This window comes from Homo sapiens, chromosome 7 (genome assembly GCF_000001405.40).
Source record: "Homo sapiens chromosome 7, GRCh38.p14 Primary Assembly".
NCBI lineage: Eukaryota > Metazoa > Chordata > Mammalia > Primates > Hominidae > Homo > Homo sapiens.
The window spans coordinates 156899473-156923060 of record NC_000007.14 but is presented as its reverse complement, the minus strand read 5'-3'; the positions used below and the strand labels follow the sequence as shown (position 1 = coordinate 156923060).

General features: G+C 44.6%; 1 long non-coding RNA gene across 3 annotated transcripts in view, besides 4 other annotated features; it reads right to left on the bottom strand.

Annotated features, from left to right (window-relative positions):
- Positions 1-1079: 1079 nt before the first annotated feature.
- The window catches only part of LOC102723795 (uncharacterized), a 28584-nt gene continuing 6075 nt past the window's right edge, over positions 1080-23588 (bottom strand). For all 3 annotated transcript variants that reach the window (XR_428274.4, XR_928253.3, XR_001745446.2), the window contains 2 exons: positions 19557-19756; positions 1080-1770 (listed from right to left, as the gene is read on the bottom strand). This is a non-coding gene — a long non-coding RNA (uncharacterized LOC102723795). The remainder of the gene's footprint in view (positions 1771-19556; positions 19757-23588) is intronic.
- Positions 1950-2089: an enhancer, noted in NCBI's record as "active region_26917". NCBI's record gives its function as "activates an Ori minimal core promoter by ATAC-STARR-seq in GM12878 lymphoblastoid cells {active_cell/tissue: GM12878}" and the evidence as "EXISTENCE:reporter gene assay evidence [ECO:0000049][PMID:35858748]".
- Positions 4098-4167: an enhancer, noted in NCBI's record as "active region_26916". NCBI's record gives its function as "activates an Ori minimal core promoter by ATAC-STARR-seq in GM12878 lymphoblastoid cells {active_cell/tissue: GM12878}" and the evidence as "EXISTENCE:reporter gene assay evidence [ECO:0000049][PMID:35858748]".
- Positions 4188-4247: an enhancer, noted in NCBI's record as "active region_26915". NCBI's record gives its function as "activates an Ori minimal core promoter by ATAC-STARR-seq in GM12878 lymphoblastoid cells {active_cell/tissue: GM12878}" and the evidence as "EXISTENCE:reporter gene assay evidence [ECO:0000049][PMID:35858748]".
- Positions 7172-8371: an enhancer, noted in NCBI's record as "MED14-independent group 3 enhancer chr7:156707384-156708583 (GRCh37/hg19 assembly coordinates)". NCBI's record gives its function as "activates an origin of replication core promoter dependent on BRD2, BRD4, P300/CBP and CDK7 cofactors, and independent of MED14, by STARR-seq in HCT116 cells {active_cell/tissue: HCT116}" and the evidence as "EXISTENCE:reporter gene assay evidence [ECO:0000049][PMID:35650434]".

The window sequence follows — 23588 nt, the reverse complement described above, 5'->3', positions numbered from 1 at the left end:
TCCCGAGTAGCTGGGATTACAGGCACCCACCACTATGCCTGGCTAATTTTTGTATTTTTAGTAAAGACGGGGTTTCACCATGTTGGCCAGGCTGGTCTCGAACTCCTGACCTCAGGTGATCCACCTGCCCCGGCCTCCCAAAGTGCTGGGATTACAGGTGTGAGCCACCACGCCTGGCCTGTTAACCCTTTCTTCTATCTCCTTTCTCCTGCTGTTAAATGTTACTTTGTCATGGAATGTTCATCTAGAGCATTTATGCGTTGATTAAGCACACTGCCATTTGGAGGGCTGCTGCTCTGGTCTCCATTTCTGGTTAGTGACCCTGGCCTGTTTTTCTAGTCTCCCACTTTCTGCAGTATCTTCACTTCTTGGTGCCAATTTAGCAGAATCCATTCATTCTTTAGATGGCAGCACATGGTTAAAGAGCAGACAACAGAGGCGGCACTCGAATGTGGATGTGTGCCTGCCCCTTAGAATAGTGGCTTATTAGATAACATCTGAAAAGTCATGGCCGGGCACGGTGGCTCATGCCTGTAATCCCAGCACTTCAGGAGGCCAAGGCAGGCGGATCACCTGAGGTCAGGAGTTCAAGACCAGCCTGGCCAACATGGCGCAATCCTGTCTCTACTAAATATAGAAAATTAGCCAGGCATGGTGGCAGGCACCTGCAATTCCAGCTACTCAGGAAGCTGAGGCAGGAGAATTGCTTGAACCCAGGAGGGAGAGGTTGCAGTGAGCTGAGATCATGCCATTGTACTTCAGTCTGGACAACAGAGTGAGACTCCATCTCAAAAAAAAAAAGAAAGAAAAAAAAAGAAAGAAAAAGAAAAGAAAAGAAAAAGAAAAAAAAAAGAAGGAAAAGTCACAACTGCTAACACAGGTAGTGTCGTTTATCCATGGTGCCATCTTTGTAATCACCTCATCCTATGTAAAATGTAGACTTACTGAGCACTGACAACAGTCTTGCAAGGGGATGAAATGTGTGCACTTGCAGGTTTACCGAATGTGAAATCAGAGGAAGAAGCAGCAGAGGAGTTTTTCAGAACACGCGTTTAAGTACCCACACATTGTAAGCACGGTTCCACCAGGCGTCAGGTCTTTATAATAGCACAAATAATAGCACAAATGACGCAAATTTCAATATGCGTGCTTTTCCAAAATGTAGTATTAGCTTGCCATGCTATAGCTCAGCGTTGGTTTCTTTTGGTAGCCACTCAGTGAGTCCTGCGTGCCGTGGCCTTTTCCTACTTCAAGCGAGGTGCGGAACTTATAGCATGGAGCTTCCTTTACCCTCCCCGCTCATAAATATCACTGTCCTGAGTCTCAGATGGTGCTAACGTTTTTGTTTCAATCAAGTGTGATTTGGAAAACTCATGAGGAAGAGGAAGGTCTCTGGATCCTATTTTTTAAGTCTTTCCTTTTTGCAGCCAGTCGCTCTGCTTAGGTTTAGTGTGAGGATTGTGGCCCGCTTCTGCAGGCCATGCTTCCAGTGACAATTTGATGTTCAGAGCCTTCATGGTGCTATCTTGGGTCTGCTTGGTTTGTCTGGTGCTGCTGGAGCTCCCACGGGTACCTGCTGGTGCCACCCAAGGGGCACAAGGGGCTTTCCCAGGCCAGGCCACCCAGTGCTCCCAGTGGGCCGGGCCTCGAGTGCTGGTTGTGTGGGGCTTCCCTTTCCCGTCACTCTGGTTCCTCTCACTGGGGGAGGGTGGTGTGGTCCTGTGGGCAAAGGATTACCTAGGTGCCGAGGCGAGAGACTGAAGGCACAAACTGTTTCAGTATAATAAAGAAAATAGAATAAGAATAGTTATAACACAAATTAGATATAGAGATGATCATGAACATTATCAATCATTAGTATAAACATTATTAATCATTAGCTTTTACTATTACTCTTTGTTGTATTACTAATACAACCAATAAATAACCGGCGGGTGGGTATATGGTCAGGTGCTGAAGGGATATTGTGAGAAGTGACCTAGAAGGCAAGAGGTGAGCCCTCCGTCACGCCCGCATAAGGACCGCTTGAGGGCTCCTTGGTCAAGCGGTAACGCCAGTGTCTGAGAAGGCACCCGTTACTTAGCAGACCATGAAAGGGAGTCTCCCTTTACTTGGAGGAGTCAAAGAACACTCTGCTCCACCAGCTTCTTGTGGGAGGTTAGATACTATCCAGGCCTGCCCGCAGTCATCTGGAGGCCTAAACCCCTCCCTGTGGTGCTTCAATGGTCATGTTCCTTGTCCACTTTCATGTTCCTCCCATACTCCTGGTTCCTCTTTGAAGTTCGTAGTAGATAGCAGTAGAAGAAATAGTGAAAGTCTTAAAAAGTCTGATCTTTCTTGTAAGTGCATAGAAGAAAACGCTGACGTATGCTGCCTTCCCTCTCTGCTTCGGCTACCTAAAAGGGAAAGGGCTCCCTGTCCCATGATCACGTGACTTGCCTGGCCTTATCAATCACTTGGACGACTCACCCTCCTTACCCTGCCCCCTTGTCTTGCATGCAATAAATATCAGCGCGCCCAGCCATTCGGGGCCACTACCGGTCTCCGCATCTTGGTGGTAGTGGTTCCCCGGGCCCAGCTGTTTTCTCTTTATCTCTGTCTTGTGTCTTTATTTCTTACAATCTCTCATCTCTGCACACGGGGAGAACACTCACTAAGCCCTGTAGGGCTGGACCCTATAGGTCCCCTGGCCCTGGTGTCAGCGAGCTCCCTGGCAATCCCCTCGCCAGTGCTGCCAGGCTTGACTGGTGCTCTTGGCAGAACTCCTGTCTGATCTGAGGGAGGAGTGAGCCTACCTGGGCCACCTTCTGTTCAAGGTTGTGGGTGAGAAGACACCTGGCCCGGGTCACTTGGGCTGTGGGTGGGGAGTTGTAAGGCATCCTGCTACTGGGGTGCTCCTCCAGTCTGGGGTCCCTTACACGTCTGCCTTCCTCTTTCCACTTTTCAGAGTTCCCCTTTGTCTTTCCTGACTGCCTCATCTGCACTTGATTGCACCATCCGATTTCAATTATCTCCATAGCATTGATCAATTACCTGATATTTTAATACTTAACCAATTGTATTTGTCTCTCCTCCTAAAGTATATGCATAAGATAGCTGAGACCTGTAAGAACTGTTCTTGAATCAGGGCTTATGTGTAAGCTTTATTTGCGTCAGTATTCTCAGCTCCTAGAGTAGGGGTGGGCGCAGGGCAGGCCAATCCTGGTGAGGGTGAGCCAAGTGAGTGCGTGAAAACCAAAGGAAAAAACAAGAGTGAATGCAGATGTCTTCACCCCCAAACAACATGTTGAGTCACCCTAATTAGTACACAAAGAGAGAACAATTTACTGGGACAGGCCAGGCGAGTGTGACTGTCTGCCCACGGTACAAACTTGCTTCTCCTCTCATGCCTGAGTACGGGTAGGCATTCATTCACCGATGGAGGAATGTGCCTTTTGACTCTGCAAACACAATGAGGAGAGTGTGAGGGGTCCGGCGCACCTCTGGGGTTTATGCGCTGCCTCTGCCTGAAGCACGGAAGCAGGTGAGCGTGGGCCTGTCGGTGGTCCAAGGCCACAGGACACTGATGGCTGCCGTCGCCCAGCCTGCCCGCGCTGCGCAGAACCAATTCCTGTCTCTGCCCCTTGGCGAGTGACCAGGTTGCCCAGCAGTGTGAATGTGTGAGAGCTGCTAATCTCACCCCGTTTTCTCACTCTCTTTTTGGGAAGAAGAAAACCAAGCTGAATAAACAACTGTCGGCAAACAAGCACCCTGGACCTCCTTTGGCGTGTCCTTGAACAATACTGAATGCCTTTATTAGTCTGTGCGGTTAACACCAGCCTATTTATTTTTGCTAATGAGACAGAAGTGGAAGATTGGGGTTTTTACAACATTAGACATTATGCCAACCAATTTAATTATTGACAGGGATCAAGGATATTCACCCCACATCAAGTCCACTACTTATTATTGTAACATGCCTAAGAGGAATTAACCACATTTGAACTTAATTAGAACATTCATGATTTCAGAATAAAGCCTATCCCTGCTAATTCTCGAATTAATCTGATTTGTACTGGCTAGGATTTCTAATGCTTCTGAAACAAATCTTTCAGAAGTAGAATGGTGCATGGTTTCTTTTCTAACTACAGGAATGCAGTCAGTGACTTCAGAAATGATTCCTCAGTTAATGCCACATGTTTATTTGCATGCTTTTCCTGGTAACTATTATTCATATTTCAGATTAAAGTCTACCCTTAGACTCATATCAGGAGCTAGGCTATGCAGACATCACTATTAGAATTAAATGTACTACCTGAGGGGAGAAGTAAGAGCATCTGCTCCTTCAATGTTTGGATGAATAAAGGCTGATGATGCCAGGGCTGGTTACTAAGATTTGTTGTATTAAATAGAATCACTTTTCCTTGAGGTCTGTAAGCACTCACACACACACACACAAACTCACACTCACACACACACTCACACACTTACCTGAAAGCAGGAGGCTAAGTTTTGAAGTTTCAAACTTTAACTTGTAAAACAGCCAAATGAAAAATTAAAACCCGGCCAAGCGTGGTGGCTCACGCCTGTAATCCCATCACTTTGGGAGGCCGAGGCAGGTGGATCACTTGAGGTCAGGAGTTCGAGACCAGCCTGGCCAATCTGGTAAAACCCCATCTCTACTAAAAATACACAAATTAGCTGGGCATGGTGGCAGGCACCTGTAATCCCAGCTATCACTTGAACCTGGGAGGTGGAGGCTGCAGTGAGCCAAGATCACGCCATTGCACTCCAGCCTGGTCAACAGAGTGAGATGCCGTCTCAAAACAAAAACAAAAACAACAACAAAAAAAACAACCCACCCCCTACATTTTAATGATTAGGATAGAAAGTGAGAGAAGGGTAATTATCCAGTGAATTTAGACACTGTAAACAAAATGTATCATTTAACCTGAATACTTACTCCATCCTTAATTATCTACAGTATAATTCTGACAAAATTGCTATTTGCCTGTATTGCAACTATAGCTTTGTGGTCTTAGGCAATACAATATAAATAATATAACAATGTAACAGGGCTGGGCCCCGTGGCTCATGCCTGTAATCTCAGCACTTTGGGAGGCTGAGGCAGGTGGATCATTTGAGGTCAGGATTTCGAGACCAGCCTGACCAACATGGTGAAACTCTGTCTCTACTGAATAAAAAAAAAATTAGCCGGGCATGGTGGTGCATGCCTGTAATCCCAGCTACTTGGGAGGCTGAGGTAGGAGAATCGCTCAAACCCGGGATGTGGAGGTTGCAGTGAGCCAAGATTGTGCCACTGCACTTCAGCCTGGGCAACGGAGCGAAACTCCATCTCAAAAAAAAAAAAACAAAAAAAAACCCCAAAAAAACAAAACAACAACAACAAAAAAAAAACCAAAACAATGTAACATAACACACTAATATAACACAACATAAAGTCATACAATTCAACATAACATTATAATGTAATATAATGTAATATCTTTAACTGGATCTCTGCTACCTACTCAGATCCTTTCCAAATCTTCCCTAACAGACTGAAGTCAAGCAGTGGCCAAGAGGTACATTGACATCGAGGTGCTCAGCATGATTATAGATTATGCCAAATTCTGAGGTCACAGTTGATGCCATTAACATAGTCTTTACATTGAAAAAACAACACGAAAAACCTTTGACAGATAATAGAGCCATACAATTTTAATAATGTGAATAGTAAACATTAGAGGCAGGCCAAAAAAATGATAACAAATATACTTTTTTCAAATCAGCAGTTTTCACAGTGCCTGCAATAAACATTTATCAAGACAGCCATGTAATAATAATAATAATAACAATAAAACTTCCCTCTATTTAGAATACCAAAACATGTTCTAGGAGCATTCTGAATTCATAAATTGTGGGATGAATGTTTTTCCACATGCTGGCCTGATATAATTCACACAGATATTACTTCTCGCCCTCAGAGCAATCCTTGGCGGTGTGCATTATAGGAATGTCAGGCTGGATTTATATGAAAGAGGATTTCTGTAGGTGGCATTATTGATGGCAAATGGAAGATTCACCAGACATTGGAAATTGGAAGTACTTCTGAAAAACCCCCTTTTCACTTGAAAGGGCTATAAATCTATAAATAATCTTGAATTCACAAGCAAGCCTTTTATGCAATAAGTTGATTGCAAATACATTACTGAAGAGATATATAATTACCTTAAAATCTACCACAGTCGGAAATGTATAGGAGCTCCTAAATTATAATTTAATTTTATAATAGTAAAAGACATAAGTAACATTTTTAGCATTAATTTTTTTGAGTTTTACCTTTTATCTTCATGTATATAAAGACAAAGCAAGACTGTCTATACATTAATATTCCAGACTGTCCCAGGAAGCTCCCAGACTTCCTAGTTATATAAAAAGCTGATTTTGATGAACAAGAGAAAGGGAAGTTTTATCAACCATTTCAGTCTAGGAACCAGCAATCACAGAACTCCCCAGCATTGCAGAGATCATTTCTACGATCGAACAATCATCTCCCTTAAACAAGACCTTCTGGGGCTCAAGGGGACAACCGGGAGCCAGAATGTGTGGACAGGTGCTTTCTAGCTGCATATTAGAGTTTTAATTTGGCTAACTCAAAGGGGTACTGGATATTTATCTCTAAATGTCTCTGTTTCTACATCTATATCTCATCTATCTATAACTATGCATCTATATCCATAACCACAGCAATAAACTTATATCTATAATATCTATATCCATATCTATAATTGATTTTTTTTTGTAGAGATGAGGTCTTACTCTGTTGCCCAGGCTGGTCTTGAACTCCTGGCCTCCCATCTCAGTCTCCCAAAGTGCTGGGATTACAGCCATGAGCCACTACACTCTGCCCCATATCTATAATTATAATTATGTGTTTACATCTATCTCTATCTCTATCTCTATCTATCTCTATCTCTATCTCTAACTGCATCCCTATCTGTATCTGTATCTGTAACTTTCTCTCTCTCTCTCTGTACTGGAGTGGCTACGCAGAGTAGAAAAGAGACCTCTGAGCAGAAAGCAGAGATCTGAAGTTTAGAGCTGGCTCTGCCATTTATTGGCTGTGAAACCTTGGGTATGTTGTTTAACCTTACTGTATTTCAGTTTCCTCCTCTGTTAGAAATGATAATCCTTGCTTATCTTGTTGAGTTATTGTGAATTTAAATAGTGGACAACATGTACTTTGTGGGTTATAGAATACCACATAAAAGTAAAACAAGATTAGTGATAAATTTTTTAGGTCCAATTTGGGAGGTGATAATAAACTGGGGTAAATTCTCATTTTAAGGCTCATCCCCCAGAGAAGGACTGCACTTTGTTATGCTTTGTTCACCTCGAGAGACCCTGTGAAGCATTGAGGAGGGCCCAGGAGCCTCAGTTTTCTCACTTGTAATACTGTCATCGATGACATTGAACAACATAGTCTTGAGATCCTTTCAAGTCTAAATAAGCCCAGGGTTAAAGAAAAATTAATGGGGGGGAGGAGCCAAGATGGCCGAATAGGAACAGCTCCGGTCTACAGCTCCCGGCGTGAGTGACGCAGAAGACGGGTGATTTCCGCATTTCCATCTGAGGTACCGGGTTCCTCTTACTAGGGAGTGCCAGACAGTGGGTGCAGGACAGTGGGTGCACCGCATTGTGCGCGAGCTGAAGCAGGGCGAGGCACTGCCTCACTCAGGATGCGCAAGGGGTCAGGGAATTCCCTTTCCTAGTCAAAGAAAGGGATGACAGACGGCACCTGGAAAATCGGGTCACTCCCACCCTAATACTGTGCTTTTCTGACAGGCTTAGGAAATGGCGCATCAGGAGATTATATCCCGCACCTGGCTCGGAGGGTCCTACGCCCACGGAGTCTCGCTGATTGCTGGCACAGCAGCCTGAGATCAAACTGCAAGGTGGCAGCAAGGCTGGGGGAGGGGCGCCCGCCATTGCCCAGGCTTGCTTAGGTAAACAAAGCAGCCGGGAAGGTCGAACTGGGTGGAGCCCACCACAGCTCAAGGAAGCCTGCCTGCCTCTGTAGGCTCCATCTCTGGGGGCAGGGCACAGACAAACAAAAAGACAGCAGTAACCTCTGCAGACTTAAATGTCCCTGTCTGACAGCTTTGAAGAGAGCAGTGGTTCTCCTAGCACGCAGCTGGAGATCTGAGAACGGGCAGACTGCCTCCTCAAGTGGGTCCCTGATCCCTGACCCCCGAGCAGCCTAACTGGGAGGCACCCCCCAGTAGGGGCAGACTGATACCTCACACGGCCGGGTACTCCTCTGAGACAAAACTTCCAGAGGAACGATCAGACAGCAGCATTCGCGGTTCACGAAAATCCGCTGTTCTGCAGACACCGCTGCTGATACCCAGGCAAACAGGGTCTGGAGTGGACCTCTAGCAAACTCCAACAGACCTGCAGCTGAGGGTCCTGTCTGTTAGAAGGAAAACTAACAAACAGAAAGGACATCCACACCAAAAACCCATCTGTACATCACCATCATCAAAGACCAAAAGTAGATAAAACCACAAAGATGGGGAAAAAACAGAGCAGAAAAACTGGAAACTCTAAAAAGCAGAGTGCCTCTCCTCCTCCAGAGGAACGTAGTTCCTCACCAGCAACAGAACAAAGCTGGACGGAGAATGACTTTGACGAGTTGAGAGAAGAAGGCTTCAGACGATCAAACTACTCTGAGCTACAGGAGGAAATTCAAACCAAAGGCAAAGAAGTTGAAAACTTTGAAAAAAATTTAGACGAATGTATAACTAGAATAACCAATACAGCGAAGTGCTTAAAGGAGCTGATGGAGCTGAAAGCCAAGGCTCGAGAACTACGTGAAGAATGCAGAAGTCTCAGGAGCCAATGTGATCAACTGGAAGAAAGGGTTTCAGTGATGGAAGATGAAATGAATGAAATGAAGTGAGAAGGGAAGTTTAGAGAAAAAAGAATAAAAAGAAATGAACAAAGCCTCCAAGAAATATGGGACTATGTGAAAAGACCAAATCTATGTCTGATTGGTGTACCTGAAAGTGACGGGGAGAATGGAACCAAGTTGGAAAACACTCTGCAGGGTATTATCCAGGAGAACTTCCCTAATCTAGCAAGGCAGGCCAACATTCAGATTCAGGAAGTACAGAGAACACCACAAAGATACTCCTTGAGAAGAGCAACTCCAAGACACATAATTGTCAGATTCACCAAAGTTGAAATGAAGGAAAAAATGTTAAGGGCAGCCAGAGAGAAAGGTCGGCTTACCCACAAAGGGAAGCCCATCAGACTAACAGCTGATCTCTCGGCAGAAACTCTACAAGCCAGAAGAGAGGGGGGCCAATATTCAACATTCTTAAAAAAAAGAATTTTCAACCCAGAATTTCATATCCAGCCAAACTAAGCTTCATAAGTGAAGGAGAAATAAAATACTGTACAGACAAGCAAATGCTGAGAGATTTTGTCACCACCAGGCCTGCCCTACAAGAGCTCCTGAAGGAAGCACTAAACATGGAAACGAACAACCGGTACCAGCCGCTGCAAAATCATGCCAAAATGTAAAGACCATCGAGACTAGGAAGAAACTGCATCAACTAATGAGCAAAATAACCAGCTAACATCATAATGACAGGATCAAATTCACACATAACAATATTAACTTTAAATGTAAATGGACTAAATGCTCCAATTAAAAGACAGACTGGCAAATTGGATAAAGAGTCAAGACCCATCAGTGTGCTGTATTCAGGAAACCCATCTCACCTGCAGAGACACACATAGGCTCAAAATAAAAGGATGGAGGAAGATCTACCAAGCAAATGGAAAACAAAAAAAGGCAGGGGTTGCAATCCTAGTCTCGGATAAAACAGACTTTAAACCAACAAAGATCAAAAGAGACAAAGAAGGCCATTACATAATGGTAAAGGGATCAATTCAACAAGAAGAGCTAACTATCCTAAATATATATGCACCCAATACAGGAGCACCCAGATTCATAAAGCAAGTGCTGAGTGACCTACAAAGAGACTTAGACTCCCACACAATAATAATGGGAGACTTTAACACCCCACTGTCAACATTAGACAGATCAACGAGACAGAATGTTAACAAGGATACCCAGGAATTGAACTCAGCTCTGCACCAAGTGGACCTAATAGACATCTACAGAACTCTCCACCCCAAATCAACGGAATATACATTCTTTTCTGCACCACACCACACCTATTCCAAAATTGACCACATAGTTGGAAGTAAAGCTCTCCTCAGCAAATGTAAAAGAACAGAAATTATAATAAACTGTCTCTCAGACCACAGTGCAATCAAACTAGAACTCAGGATTAAGAAACTCACTCAAAACCGCTCAACTACATGGAAACTGAACAACCTGCTCCTGAATGACTACTGGGGACATAATGAAAAGAAGGCAGAAATAAAGATGGTCTTCAAAACCAACAAGAACAAAGACACAAATACCAGAATCTCTGGGACACATTCAAAGCAGCGTGTAGAGGGAAATTTATAGGACTAAATGCCCACAAGAGAAAGCAGGAAAGATCCAAAATTGACACCCTAACATCACAATTAAAAAAACTAGAAAAGCAACAGCAAACACATTCAAAAGCCAGCAGAAGGCAAGAAATAACTAAAATCAGAGCAGAACTGAAGGAAATAGAGACCAAAAAAACCCTTCAAAAAATTAATGAATCCAGGAGCTGGTTTTTTGAAAGGATCAACAAAATTGATAGACCGCTAGCAAGACGAATAAAGAAAAAAAGAGAGAAGAATCAAATAGATGCAATAACAAATGATAAAGGGGATAGCACCACCAATCCCACAGAAATACAAACTACCATCAGAGAATACTACAAACACCTCTACGCAAATAAACTAGAAAATCTAGAAGAAATGGATAAATTCCTTGACACATACACTCTCCCAAGACTAAACCAGGAAGAAGTTGAATCTCTGAATAGACCAATAACAGAATCTGAAATTGTGGTAATAATCAATAGTTTACCAACCAAAAAGAGTCCAGGACCCGATGGATTCACAGCCGAATTCTACCAGAGGTACAAGGAGGAACTGGTACCATTCCTTCTGAAACTATTCCAATCAATAGAAAAAGAGGGAATCCTCCCTAACTCATTTTATGAGGCCAGCATCATCCTGATACCAAAGACTGGCAGAGACACAACCAAAAAAGAGAATTTTAGACCAATATCCTTGAAGAACATTGATGCAAAAATCCTCAATAAAATACTGGCAAACCGAATCCAGCAGCACATCAAAAAGCTTATCCACCATGATCAAGTGGGCTTCATCCCTGGGATGCAAGGCTGGTTCAATATATGCAAATCAATAAATATAATCCAGCATATAAACAGAACCAAAGACAAAAACCACATGATTATCTCAATAGATGCAGAAAAGGCCTTTGACAAAATTCAACAACACTTCATGCTAAAAACTCTCAAAAAATTAGGTATTGATGGGACGTATCTCAAAGTAATAAGAGCTATCTATGACAAACCCACAGCAAATATCATACTGAATGGGCAAAAACTGGAAGCATTCCCTTTGAAAACTGGCACAAGACAGGGATGCCCTCTCTCACCACTCCTATTCAACATAGTGTTGGAAGTGCTGGCCAGGGCAATTAGGCAGGAGAAAGAAATAAAGGGTATTCAATTAGGAAAAGAGGAAGTCAAATTGTCCCTGTTTGCAGACGACATGATTGTATATCTAGAAAACCCCATTGTCTCAGCCCAAAATCTCCTTAAGCTGATAAGCAACTTCAGCAAAGTCTCAGGATACAAAATCAATGTACAAAAATCACAAGCATTCTTATACACCAATAACAGACAAACAGAGAGCCAAATCATGAGTGAACTCCCATTCACAATTGCTTCAAAGAGAATAAAATACTTAGGAATCCAACTTACAAGGGACATGAAGGACCTCTTCAAGGAGAACTACAAACCACTGCTCAATGAAATAAAAGAGGATACAAACAAATGGAAGAACATTCCATGCTCATGGGTAGGAAGAATCAATATGGTGAACATGGCATACTGCCCAAGGTAATTTATAGATTCAACGCCATCCCCATCAAGCTACCAATGACTTTCTTCACAGAATTGGAAAAAACTACTTTAAAGTTCATATGGAACCAAAAGGACTGCCAAGTCAATCCTAAGCCAAAAAAACAAAGCTGGAGGCATCATGCTACCTGACTTCAAATTATACTACAAGGCTACCGTAACCAAAACAGCATGGTACTGGTACCAAAACAGAGATATAGCTCAATGGAACAGAACAGAGCCCTCAGAAATAATGCCGCATATCTACAACTATCTGATCTTTGACAAACCTGACAAAAACAAGCAATGGGGAAAGGATTCCCTATTTAATAAATGGTGCTGGGAAAACTGGCTAGCCATATGTAGAAAGCTGAAACTGGATCCCTTCCTTACACCTTATACAAAAATTAATTCAAGATGGATTAAAGACTTAAACGTTAGACCTAAAACCATAAAAACCCTAGAAGAAAACCTAGGCATTACCATTCAGGACATAGGCATGGGCAAGGACTTCAATTCTAAAACACCAAAAGCAATGGCAACAAAAGCCAAAATTGACAAATGGGATCTAATTAAACTCAAGAGCTTCTGCACAGCAAAAGAAACTACCATCAGAGTGAACAGGAAACCTACAAAATGGGAGAAAATTTTTGCAACCTACTCATCTGACAAAGGGCTAATATCCAGAATCTACAATGAACTCAAACAAATTTACAAGAAAAAAAAAACAACCCCATCAAAAAGTGGGCAAAGGATATGAACAGATGCCTCTGAAAAGAAGACATTTATGCAGCCAAAAGACACAAGAAAAAATGCTCATCATCACTGGCCATCAGAGAAATGCAAATCAAAACCACAATGAGATACCATCTCACACCAGTTAGAATGGCAATCATTAAAAAGTCAGGTAACAACAGGTGCTGGAGAGGATGTGGAGAAATAGGAACACTTTTGCACTGTTGGTGGGACTGTAAACTAGTTCAACCCTTGTGGAAGTCAGTGTGGCGATTCCTCAGGGATCTAGAACTAGAAATACCATTTGACCCAGCCATCCCATTACTGGGTATATACCCAAAGGACTATAAATCATGCTGCTATAAAGACACATGCACACATATTTTTATTGTGGCACTATTCACAATAGAAAAGACTTGGAACCAACCCAAATGTCCAACAATGATAGACTGGATTAAGAAAATGTGGCACATATACACCATGGAATACTATGCAGCCATAAAAAATGATGAGTTCACGTCCTTTGTAGGGACATGGATGAAATTGGAAATCATCATTCTCAGTAAACTATCAGAAGGACAAAAAACCAAACACCGCATGTTCTCACTCATAGATGGGAACTGAACAATGAGAACACATGGACACAGGAAGGGGAACATCACACTCTGGGGACTGTTGTGGGGTGGGGGGAGGGGGGAGGGATAGCATTAGGAGATATACCTAATGCTAAATGACGAGTTAATGGGTGCAGCACACCAGCATGGCACATGTATACATATGTAACTAACCTGCACATTGTGCACATGTATCCTAAAACTTAAAGTATAATAATAATAAAAAAAATAAAAAATAAAAAAAGAAAAATTAATGTAAAGAAAAATTAAGTGTAAAGTAGGATGAATAACATCACCTCTGGTCCAAAATATCCCATACTCTAATTCATGATGGCACTCAAGACCTGGAGGCCTTTCAAGAAAAGAGATGGCTCCAAGGCCCCAGGAGCAGGGGAGAACGAATCATGATCCGCCTGTGTTCCGTACGGTGCGGTGTGTGACCCGCGCGCGTTCCGCATGGTGGGGTGTGAGATCCGCGCGCGTTCTGCACGGTGGCCCGGCCTGGCGCAGTGAGTCGCCGGCGTTCCGTGTGGCCTCAGCGCCCCCTAGCCCCGCTGGCGCTCAGGCCGCATTGCAGCAACTTCCCAGGAACACATAGGAGCACCTTCCCTCTAGCAGGCAGAGTAAGTATGAGGACAGGTGGAGGTCAGCACGAACTCCAGCCCTTGTCCCCGGGAGAGAGACCCCCAACTACTGTTCATGTGTGTGTGGTGTTTTTTTTTTGTTGTTGTTGTTGTTTTTTAACACTGCAAGCCCAGGCACATACTGCTCACATCAGACAAATGCTGTTGGTAAAGCAAGCAAGCACGCCTGTGCATGGTTATTGCATTGAAGTCTATTTATTTATTTGTTTATGAGACGGAGTCTTGCTCTGTCACCCAGGCTGGAGTGCAGTGGCACGATCTTGGCTCACTACAACCTCTGCCTCTTGGGTTCAAGCGGTTCTCCTGCCTCAGCCTCCCAAGTAACTGGGATTACAGGCACAGGCCACCATGCCCGGCTAATTTGTATTTTTAGTACAGATGGGTTTCGCCATGTTGGCCAGGCTGATCCTGAACTCCTGACCTCAGGTGATCAGCCCCCGCCTCGGCTTCTCAAAGTGCTGGGATTATAGGCGTGAGCCACCGCGCCTGGCCTACATAAGCCATTTCTATGAATCTGTTACTGTGGACTCACAGTCATTGTCTGCAAAAAGTATTTCCTGAGAACCACTGAGAGAAGTATGTTTGGAGCTGCATAGAAGAATCACAGCGCAGGCCGGGCACAGTGGCTCACACCTGTAATCCCAGCACTTTGGGAGGCTGAGGCGGGCAGATCACGAGGTCAGGAGTTCGAGACCAGCCTGACCAACATGGTGAAACCCCATCTCTACTAAAAATACAAAAATTAGCTGGGCATGGTGGCAGGTGCCTGTAATACCAGCTACTCGGGAGGCTAAGGCAGGAGAATCGCTTGAACCCGGAAGGCGGAGGTTGCAGATTGCACCATTGCACTCCAGCCTGGGCGACAGAGCGAGACTCCATCTCAAAAAAAAAAAAAATAAATAAATAAATAAAAATAAAAAATAAAAAGAAATCACAGTGCATGGTCTCTGCCCTTAGAGAATCATGCTACGCTTAGGAAGACAAACCAAATGCGTAAAAAGAGAGGCAAGGATAGGAACTTCTTATTGTGTCATACAGCATATTAAACCACAAAGCAACATGAGGTTCTCAGGCTAATGGTTTGTTTGTGTTTGTCATGGAAACCTTCCGAGAAAGCAAACTCTTAGGAAATTAGGAAGCCATGCACAGACTGAATGATTTTTCTGCATCCTGCCAGGTCACAAAACCTACCATGTCTCCTACCACAATTGGTAAGCAGTTGCCGGATGTGGATTTTTATATCCTAATGATTTGCTAATAAATTTACAAATGAGTGCAGTGTAAAAGCATGTCAGAGCATCCCAACAGCATTCTACATCTTGCTTTTAAAGTTTATGTCATGGAGATTATGGAACTGACTTCCTGTATAGAGTGATTTTATGACACACTCACTTGAAAATTGGTTTTAAAATGCTGTAAAACAGGAACATTAGCAGCAGGATGTTTGGGATGCCGCAGTGTAAGAGTGCATAAAGGTGGCCAAGATGCTTCTGTCAAGGTTTACAAGTTACCTAAATGAGCCCTTCCACCTCAAGTAACGCTTGGCAGAGGCACCTGCTTCGTTCCTGGGAGGATATGGCCAAGAGCCGGGACCTGGTTCTTTTACGGCTGCCCTTTGCTGTGACAGTGAGCCCAGGTGGTGTGTAGGAGGCAAAGCTGCCCTGCAGGCATGACGTGCCATTGGTAGGGAAGATTGTGGAGAAAGGGAGAAAGAGTTCCTAGAGAAACTCTTCAAATACTTTTGTCCACTATCTTGGCTTATAACCCAAGAGCCAAGAGCTGATTAAAAAAAGATGTTGGCCGGGTGCGGTGGCTCACACCTGTAATCCCAACACTTTGGGAGGCCGAGGTGGGCAGATCACTTGAGGTCAGGAATTTGAGACCAAGCCTGGTCAACATGGTGAAACCCCATCTCTACTAAAAATACAAAAATTAGCCTGGCGTGGTGGCAAGCACTTGTAATCCCAGCTACTCGGGAGGCTGAGGTGGGAGAATGGCTTGAACCCAGGAGGTGGAGGTTGCAGTTAGCCGAGATCATGCCACTACACTGCAGCCTGGGAGAGAGAGTGAGACTCTGTCTCAAATAGATAAATAAATAAATAAATAAGTAAGTCACAGGGTGTAGTGGTCCATGCCTGTAATCCCAACACTTCGGGAGGTTGAGGCAGGAAGATCACTTGAGGCCAGGTCTTCGAGACCAGCCTGGACAAAATGGCAAGACCTTGTCTCTATAAAAATAAAAATGAAAAAAACTAGCCAGGCTTGGTGGCATTCACCTATAGTCTCAGCTACTCTGGAAGCTGAGATGGGAGGATTGCTTGAGCCCAGGAGATCAGGGCTGCAGTGAGGTAGCACCGCTGCAGTGCAGCCTGGGCCACAGAGAGAGATGCTGTCGTAATAGTAATAATAATAATAAATAAAAACAGATGTCAGTTCACTTAAATAAAAACATTCCTTGTTTTGGCTACGAAGACTTAAGTGTTGTAAATATGTCAATTCTCCCTAATTCACTTCCAATCAAATACCAAGAGGATGTGGGGGGAGGAGTGGGTAAGGTAATGACAGATGATACAAAATTCATCTGGAAAAATAAACATGTGGGAGTAACCAGGAAACTCTGGCCTGAGGACAAGGGAGATGCTCAGTGGATTCACTCCCAACCTGGACAGCTGCCTTTGCCTCTGTCTGCTCATTTCTGGGTGGGTTGCTCAGGCCTGGAACCCCTGGGCCGCCCAGCAAAGGGCCTGGGCTCTCAGGAGGTACCACTGAGTGTTTTCCAAAGCGCCCAGGGCTGTGGAACACTCCCAGCTGGCCCCACCTCGCCCAAGGGTGCTGCATTTACCCTCAGTGCACTGGGCTGTTCTAGGGCATGGTTCTGGGCTTGCAATCACAGGGGAGGCCTGGATGAAGCCTGTGTTCTCCTGGGTGAATTTCCTGAGGTCTTTACAAACACTGCCTGTCCCCACCTGGCCCAGTGTCACATGAGACAGAAAATACCACCCACTCCTTTCACCACCAGCTCTGACTCTGTCCCTAGCAGGTAGCTCTTGGAATCCTCTGATAACCCTGGGCTGCTGCCATGCCATGGCCTGGGCACAGTGGAGCCTTATCCAAAAGATCTAGCTGCTTCCACCTCATACCAGGGGCCTGCCCCCAACCCCTAAAACTGTACAAGTATGCAAGGAAATACGTGCAAGGATATATGTGACGGCATTGTTAGAAGAGAGCTGCAAAGCAGAACAAAGCTGTAAATAACCTGAACGCCCGCTCACAGAAGATTGGTTCAGTAAATGCAGCACATACTAGTCAGGGGACTACTAAGCAAGAAGCAAAGGAATGGAATGGACCTGTACGTAATGATATGGTCAGACAGCCAAGATATATTATTAAGTAAAAATGTAAGTGGCAAAACAGATCTCAACTGTGTACTTTTAAAAATGCTTATATATGTGTAGAAAATTCTGGAAGAATGGCTAGAAACCCTTAGTCCTGGTTGCATCTAGAGAATAGAACTGAGACTGAAGGGAGAAAGACTAACTTCTTAAGTGTGCCTTCCTCATTGTTTCCATCATTTCCCCTCTAGAAAGTATATTTAAAAGCTGGTGTAGTGGCCAGGCGCGGTGTCTCACGCCTGCAATCCCAGCACTTTGGGAGGCTGAGGCAGGCAGATTACTTGAGGTCAGGAATTCGAGACCAGCTTGGCCAACATGGTGAAACCCCATCTATAGTAAAAATACAAAAAATTAGCTGGGTGTGGTGGCGCATGCCCATAATCCCAGCTATTTGGGAAGCTCAGGTGGGAGAATCACTTGAACCTGGAGGCAGAGGTTGCAGGCACCCGAGATTGTACCACTACCTTCTAGCCTGAGTGACAGAGTGAGACCCTGTCTCAAAAAAAAAAAAAAAAAAAAGAAAAAGAAAAAAGAAAAAAGTAATAGGTGGGGCGTGGTGGCTCACGCCTGTAATCCCAGCACTTTGGGAGGCCGAGGCGGGCAGATCACCTGAGGTCAGGCGTTCCAGACCAGCCTGGCCAACATGGTAAAACCCCATCTCTACTAAAAATACAAAAAATCAGCTGGGCGTGGTGGCAGGTGCCTGTTATCCCAGCTACTCAAGAGGCTGAGGCAGGAGAATCGCTTGAACCTGGGAGGCGGATGTTGCAGTGAGCTGAGATCCCGCCATTGCACTCCAGCCTGGGCAACAAGAGTGAAACTCCATCTCAAAAAAATAAATAAATAAAATAAAAAAATAAAAATAAAAAGCTAAATAAATAAAAATAAAAATAAGAGCTAGTGTAAAAAAGTGTAAGTTCAGCATCCATTCTCTGTTTTTTTAGAGATAGGGTTTGGCTCTGTCGCCTAGGCTGGAGTGCAGTGACACAATCACAGCTCACTGTGGTATTGAACTGCTGGGCTCAAGTCAACCTCCAGCCTCAGTTTCCTGAATGGCTGGGACTACAGGCATGTGCCACCACATCCAGCTATTTTTTTTTTTTAATTTTTATGTTGTAGAGATGGGGTCTCATTATGTTGCCCAGGCTGGCCTGGAACTCCTAGCCTCAAGCGATCCTCCTGCCTTGGCCTTCCAAAGTGCTGGGATTACAGGCATGAGCTACCATGAGCCACTATGCCTAAGGCTGGGTGTGGTGGCTCATACCTGTAATCTCAGCACTTTGGGAGGCTGACGTGGGTGGATCACCTGAGGTCAGGAGTTCAAGACCAGCCTGACCAACATGGTGAAACCCTGTCTCTACTAAAACTACAAGAAAATTAGTCAGACGTAGGGGCAGGTGTCTGTAATCCCAGCTACTTGGGAGGCTGAGGCAGGAGAATCATTTGAACCCGGGTGGCAGAGGTTGCAGTGAGCCTGGCCTCAGCATCCGCTTTTTTTTTTTCAGACGGAATTTTGCTCTTGTTGCCCAGGCCAGAGCGCAATGGTGTGACCTCAGCTCACTGCAAACTCTGCCTCCCGGGTTCAAGCAATTCAGCATCCATTTTTAAAGCCCTTAATTCCCTTTCCTGGAGCAGCACTATCTAAATGTTGGCTTTGGGCCTCTCATTACCAAGCTCACACAAGGTCTCTGGAGACAGAGCCCCACGAGAACCTGCTCCATCTTCTTGGCTTGCAGACCTAGAATTAGGATGGGGGCTTTTCAGACAATGTAGTGCTCACAACAAAACCTATGTCTGCAGTGACCAAAAGAAAACATCCTCTTCTCTCTCTGACTCACCCCCTCTGGGCTCAGCACGTCTTGTTCTCCTCTTTGATCTCGTGCCATGTTGGCCCAGGTTGTTCCTCCGACTGTTGCTTTGCTTCCTGCCATTCTGTGCGCTCGAGTTACAAAGTTAGCCTACTCCAGAGTGGTATCTGAGCCACACCCAGATTAGACGTTTTCATGTCTGGACTACCAAAGGGGGACACAAACCTTTAAGGGGGGACACAAACCTTTAAATGATGTCCGTACAATCTCTTACCTTGGGGTTCAGTGCCGTCTTGCTTTCGTGAAGTCATTTGATACCTTATTGTGTCATCTGAACACAATTCTATCATCTGCTGTAAATGTTAAAGTAAGCCAACAGCACACAAGGTTGATAAGCTTCTGGTCACACAAGACTTTTTCATCTCTCTTTTCTCTCTTTTTCTCCTGCTAGCAGAGTCTTGATCATCTGTTTCTCTACATTTCAATGAGAGTTAGTTAGGGATGGGTGAAATTTGTACCATTAGTCCCAAGATGAAATCTTGTTAAAATCAGAGACTGGGCTGGGCGCGGTGGCTCATGCCTGTAATCCCAGCACTTTGGGAGGCCGGGGCGGGCGGATCACGAGGTCAAGAGATCGAGACCATCCTGGCTAACATGGTGAAACTCCGTCTCTACTAAAAATACAAAAAATTAGCCTGGCATGGTGGCAGGCACCTGTAGTCCCAGCTACGCAGGAGGCTGAGGCAGGAGAATGGCGTGAACCCGGAGGTGGAGGTTGCCGTGAGCTGAGATCACGCCACTGCACTCCAGCCTAGCGACAGAGCGAGACTCCGTCTCAAAAAAAAAAAAAAATAATCAGAGACTGACACGGAAGGTTGAAGTGGTGATAGATTGAAAAAGGCTGAAAGATTCAGGAGGGTGATATTATTTTTATGTGTGGACTTAAATTCCACATGATACCCTGTAATTCTCCTCAAGCTAATTCCAGTTTTGTGTCTACCAATTTCCTCTGATTAGTTCTTGTAAATCTTGATTCATGGATAGGACAGCCACAGAATTTCTTTGCAAAGTAAAGGTCCTGTCTTCCATTTTAAGTATCCTTTTAGTCTTTCATCCCCTGTGTAAAAGTTACAAGTTTGTCATGAATTCCTTAGAAATGTTGGGCCGGGCACGGTGGCTCACACCTGTTATCCCAGCACTTTGGGAGGCCGAGGCCAGCAGATCATGAGGTCAAGAGATCAAGACCATCCTGGCCAACATGGTGAAACCCCGTCTCTACTAAAAATACAAAAAAAAAAAAAATTAGCTGGGCATGCTGGCAGGTGCCTCTAGTCCAAGCTACTCAGGAGGCTGAGACAGGAGAATCACTTGAACCTAGGAGGCGGAGGTTGCAGTGAGCCGAGATCGTGCCACTGCACTCCAGCCTGGCAACAGAGCGAGACTCCATCTCAAAAAAAAAAAATGTTTAAGTATCGCATACATATATAACCCAATTTGTAAATATTAGCATAATCCATGCTTAGATCTTGGTTTTTAGATGATAACAATAATGGTGATGATGACGTTGATACTATTACTAACAGCCAACTTTTACAGTGTCATTGCACTTTGTAGGTTCTGTCATTTATTTATTTATTTATTGAGACATTCTCGCTTTGTCACCCAGGCTGGAATGCAGTGGTGGAAACCCCTTATAAAACCATCCGATCTTGTGAGACTTATTCACTACCACGAGAACTGTATGGGGGACCCCCCTCATGATTCAATTATCCCCCACTGAGTCCCTCCCACAACACATGAGAATAACGGGAGCTATAATTCAAGATGAGATTAGGGTGGGGACACAGCCAAACCGTATCACACCCCTTTCAGAAACCGACAAACATGTGTATGACTAGAAGAACTTCTGATTGGTGTAAAAGTAATCGATGTTTCTGAACTTAATTGTATTTTCATGAATTTAGAACTGTTTTCCTGAGAAAAATTCCTGTTTTCCCTTTAGTAATCCCCTTGATTCGCCTCTGCAGACACGTGGGATGACCAACCACCAGGTGAGAGTCTTGTCCAGTCTCCTCAATTTCCACCTTTTATCATCTGGTTGTTCAACATTAGCCCACAGTGTGAACATCTTCATTTGAGGCTCTTTCTAAAACGGTTGCTGGCTCCCATGGTGTGCTGTAATTACTTAACAACCAGCTCTTCAAGGAGGGGAAGGGGGCCCTGATTTGTTATCATTGACTGATTTCTGTGCTGTAAATACTCCCACTGTGGCCAGTTCTAGCTACCAGATGTACCGATATTGAGGGTGGAGGAGCACACCATTTTACAGCTGACGAAAGCGGCCTCAAGAGTAAAGTATAATAACACAAGCAGGACATGATGGAGTCGGAGCATTTATTACCTTTTAAAAATATAACTTAAGGCTGGGCACGGTGGCTCATGCCTGTAATCCCAGAACTTTGGGAGGCTGAGGTGGGCGGATCACTTGAGGTCAGGAGTTCAAGACCAGCCTGGCCAATATGGTGAAACCCTGTCTCTACCAGTGCACTTCAGCTTGGGCAATAGAGCAAGACTTTGTCTCAAAAAAAAAAAAAAAAAGAAAAGAAAAGAAAAAAAACAGGCCAGGTGCAGTGGCTCACGCCTGTAATCCCAGCGCTTTCAGGGGCTGAGGCAAGACGACTGCTTGAGTCCAGGAGTTCAAGACCAGCCTGGGCAACATGGCAAAACTCTATCTCTACACGAAATATTTTTTAAAAATTAAAAAAAAGAACAGTGCCTGGCAAATACTAAGTGCTCAGAAATATTTGTTATTTTAACTAAAAGATAAAAGCTTGAAAGGCAGAATGGCCTTAAAAATGGTGGTAAAACAAAAATGTTTGAGAAATGAAAGCTGGCATGACACCAGGCTGGAGTGTAACACATGGAATTTGTATTTCAACCCGTTTCCTTCCAACAAAGTGCAGTTGTGACCCTGTGTGGATGAGTCTCCAGTGGAGAGTGAAGCCAGGATGGTGAGGGGACCCGGGGCAAGGAGTGGGTTCAGAAGCTGGGAAGGCACTAAGTTCTCCTCTAGTGGGAATGGGGAACAAGGGGAAGAATGATGGGCTGGAAGTCAGCAAGTCTGGGTTACCCTGGTCACTAACGTGTGTCTCTTTAGGAAAGTCACTAAATTTCTCTGGGACTTAGTTGCAATAGGGCTAGGAGATCCCCAAGGTCCTTTAGGCTTCACACATGTGTGGTTCCTGACTGCTCCATAGACAGTCTTGCTCCTTCTGTGGCATAAAGAGGTTCAGTTGACCATTTGTTCCTTCTCTCGCCTTGCCCCATTTTGGCTCATTTCCCTCCTAAATTGTGTGTGTTGAAATTGGAAGAAAAAGAGTCAAGATAGATAAGTAAAGCTTAGGAAGATGATGTATGACTGAAGATGATGTATCATGAGCCAATAAAAATGACTGGAATCAAGGCTGGACATGATGACTCACGCCTGTAATCCCGGCACTTTGGGAGGCTGAGGTGGGTGGATCACCCGAGGTCAGGAGTTCAAGACCAGCCTGGCCAACATGGTGAAACTCCGTCTCTACTAAAAATACAAAAATGAGCTGGGCATGGTGGCGCACGCCTGTAATCCTAACTACTTGGGAGGTTGAGGCAGGGGAATCGCTTGAACCCGGGAGGTGGAGGTTGCAGTGAGACGAGATCACGCCACTGTACTCCAGCCTGGGTGACACAGAAAGACTCCATCTCAAAATAAACAAAATGATTGGAATCAATGTCTATTTATGATATTACCTTTAGAAAGTGTGCTAAATCTTCTCTCAGTTTGCTTAAGCTCAAGCAGTACCTTGTATAATTGCCTGGAAGGCGTAATGCAGTGCCCTGAGCGATGCTGAGTAGGTAGTAGCTCCCACAGGTAACAGCTGATGAGTTAGAAGCATGAGAGGCCAACCTCTCCCCAAGCCTATTAAGAAGAGAATAAAAACAGGGGTCCCTACTTGTGATGGTTAACGTTATGTGTCAGCTTCACTGGGCCATGGGATGCCCAGATAGCTGGTCAAACAATATTCTGTGTGTGTCTGTGAGGGTGCTTCTGGAGGAGATTAATGTTTGAATTGGTGGCCTGAGTAAAGCAGATGGCCCTTCCAATGTGGGTGGGCATGATCCAATCAGCTGAAGTCCTCAGCAGAACAGAGAGACTGACCCTCCCCTGAGTAGGGGGAGCTCCTCCTGCTTGAGCTGACACATTGGTCTTTTCTTGCCTTTGGCCTCAGACTCAACTATCAGCTCTTGGATCTTGAGCCTGCTGGCT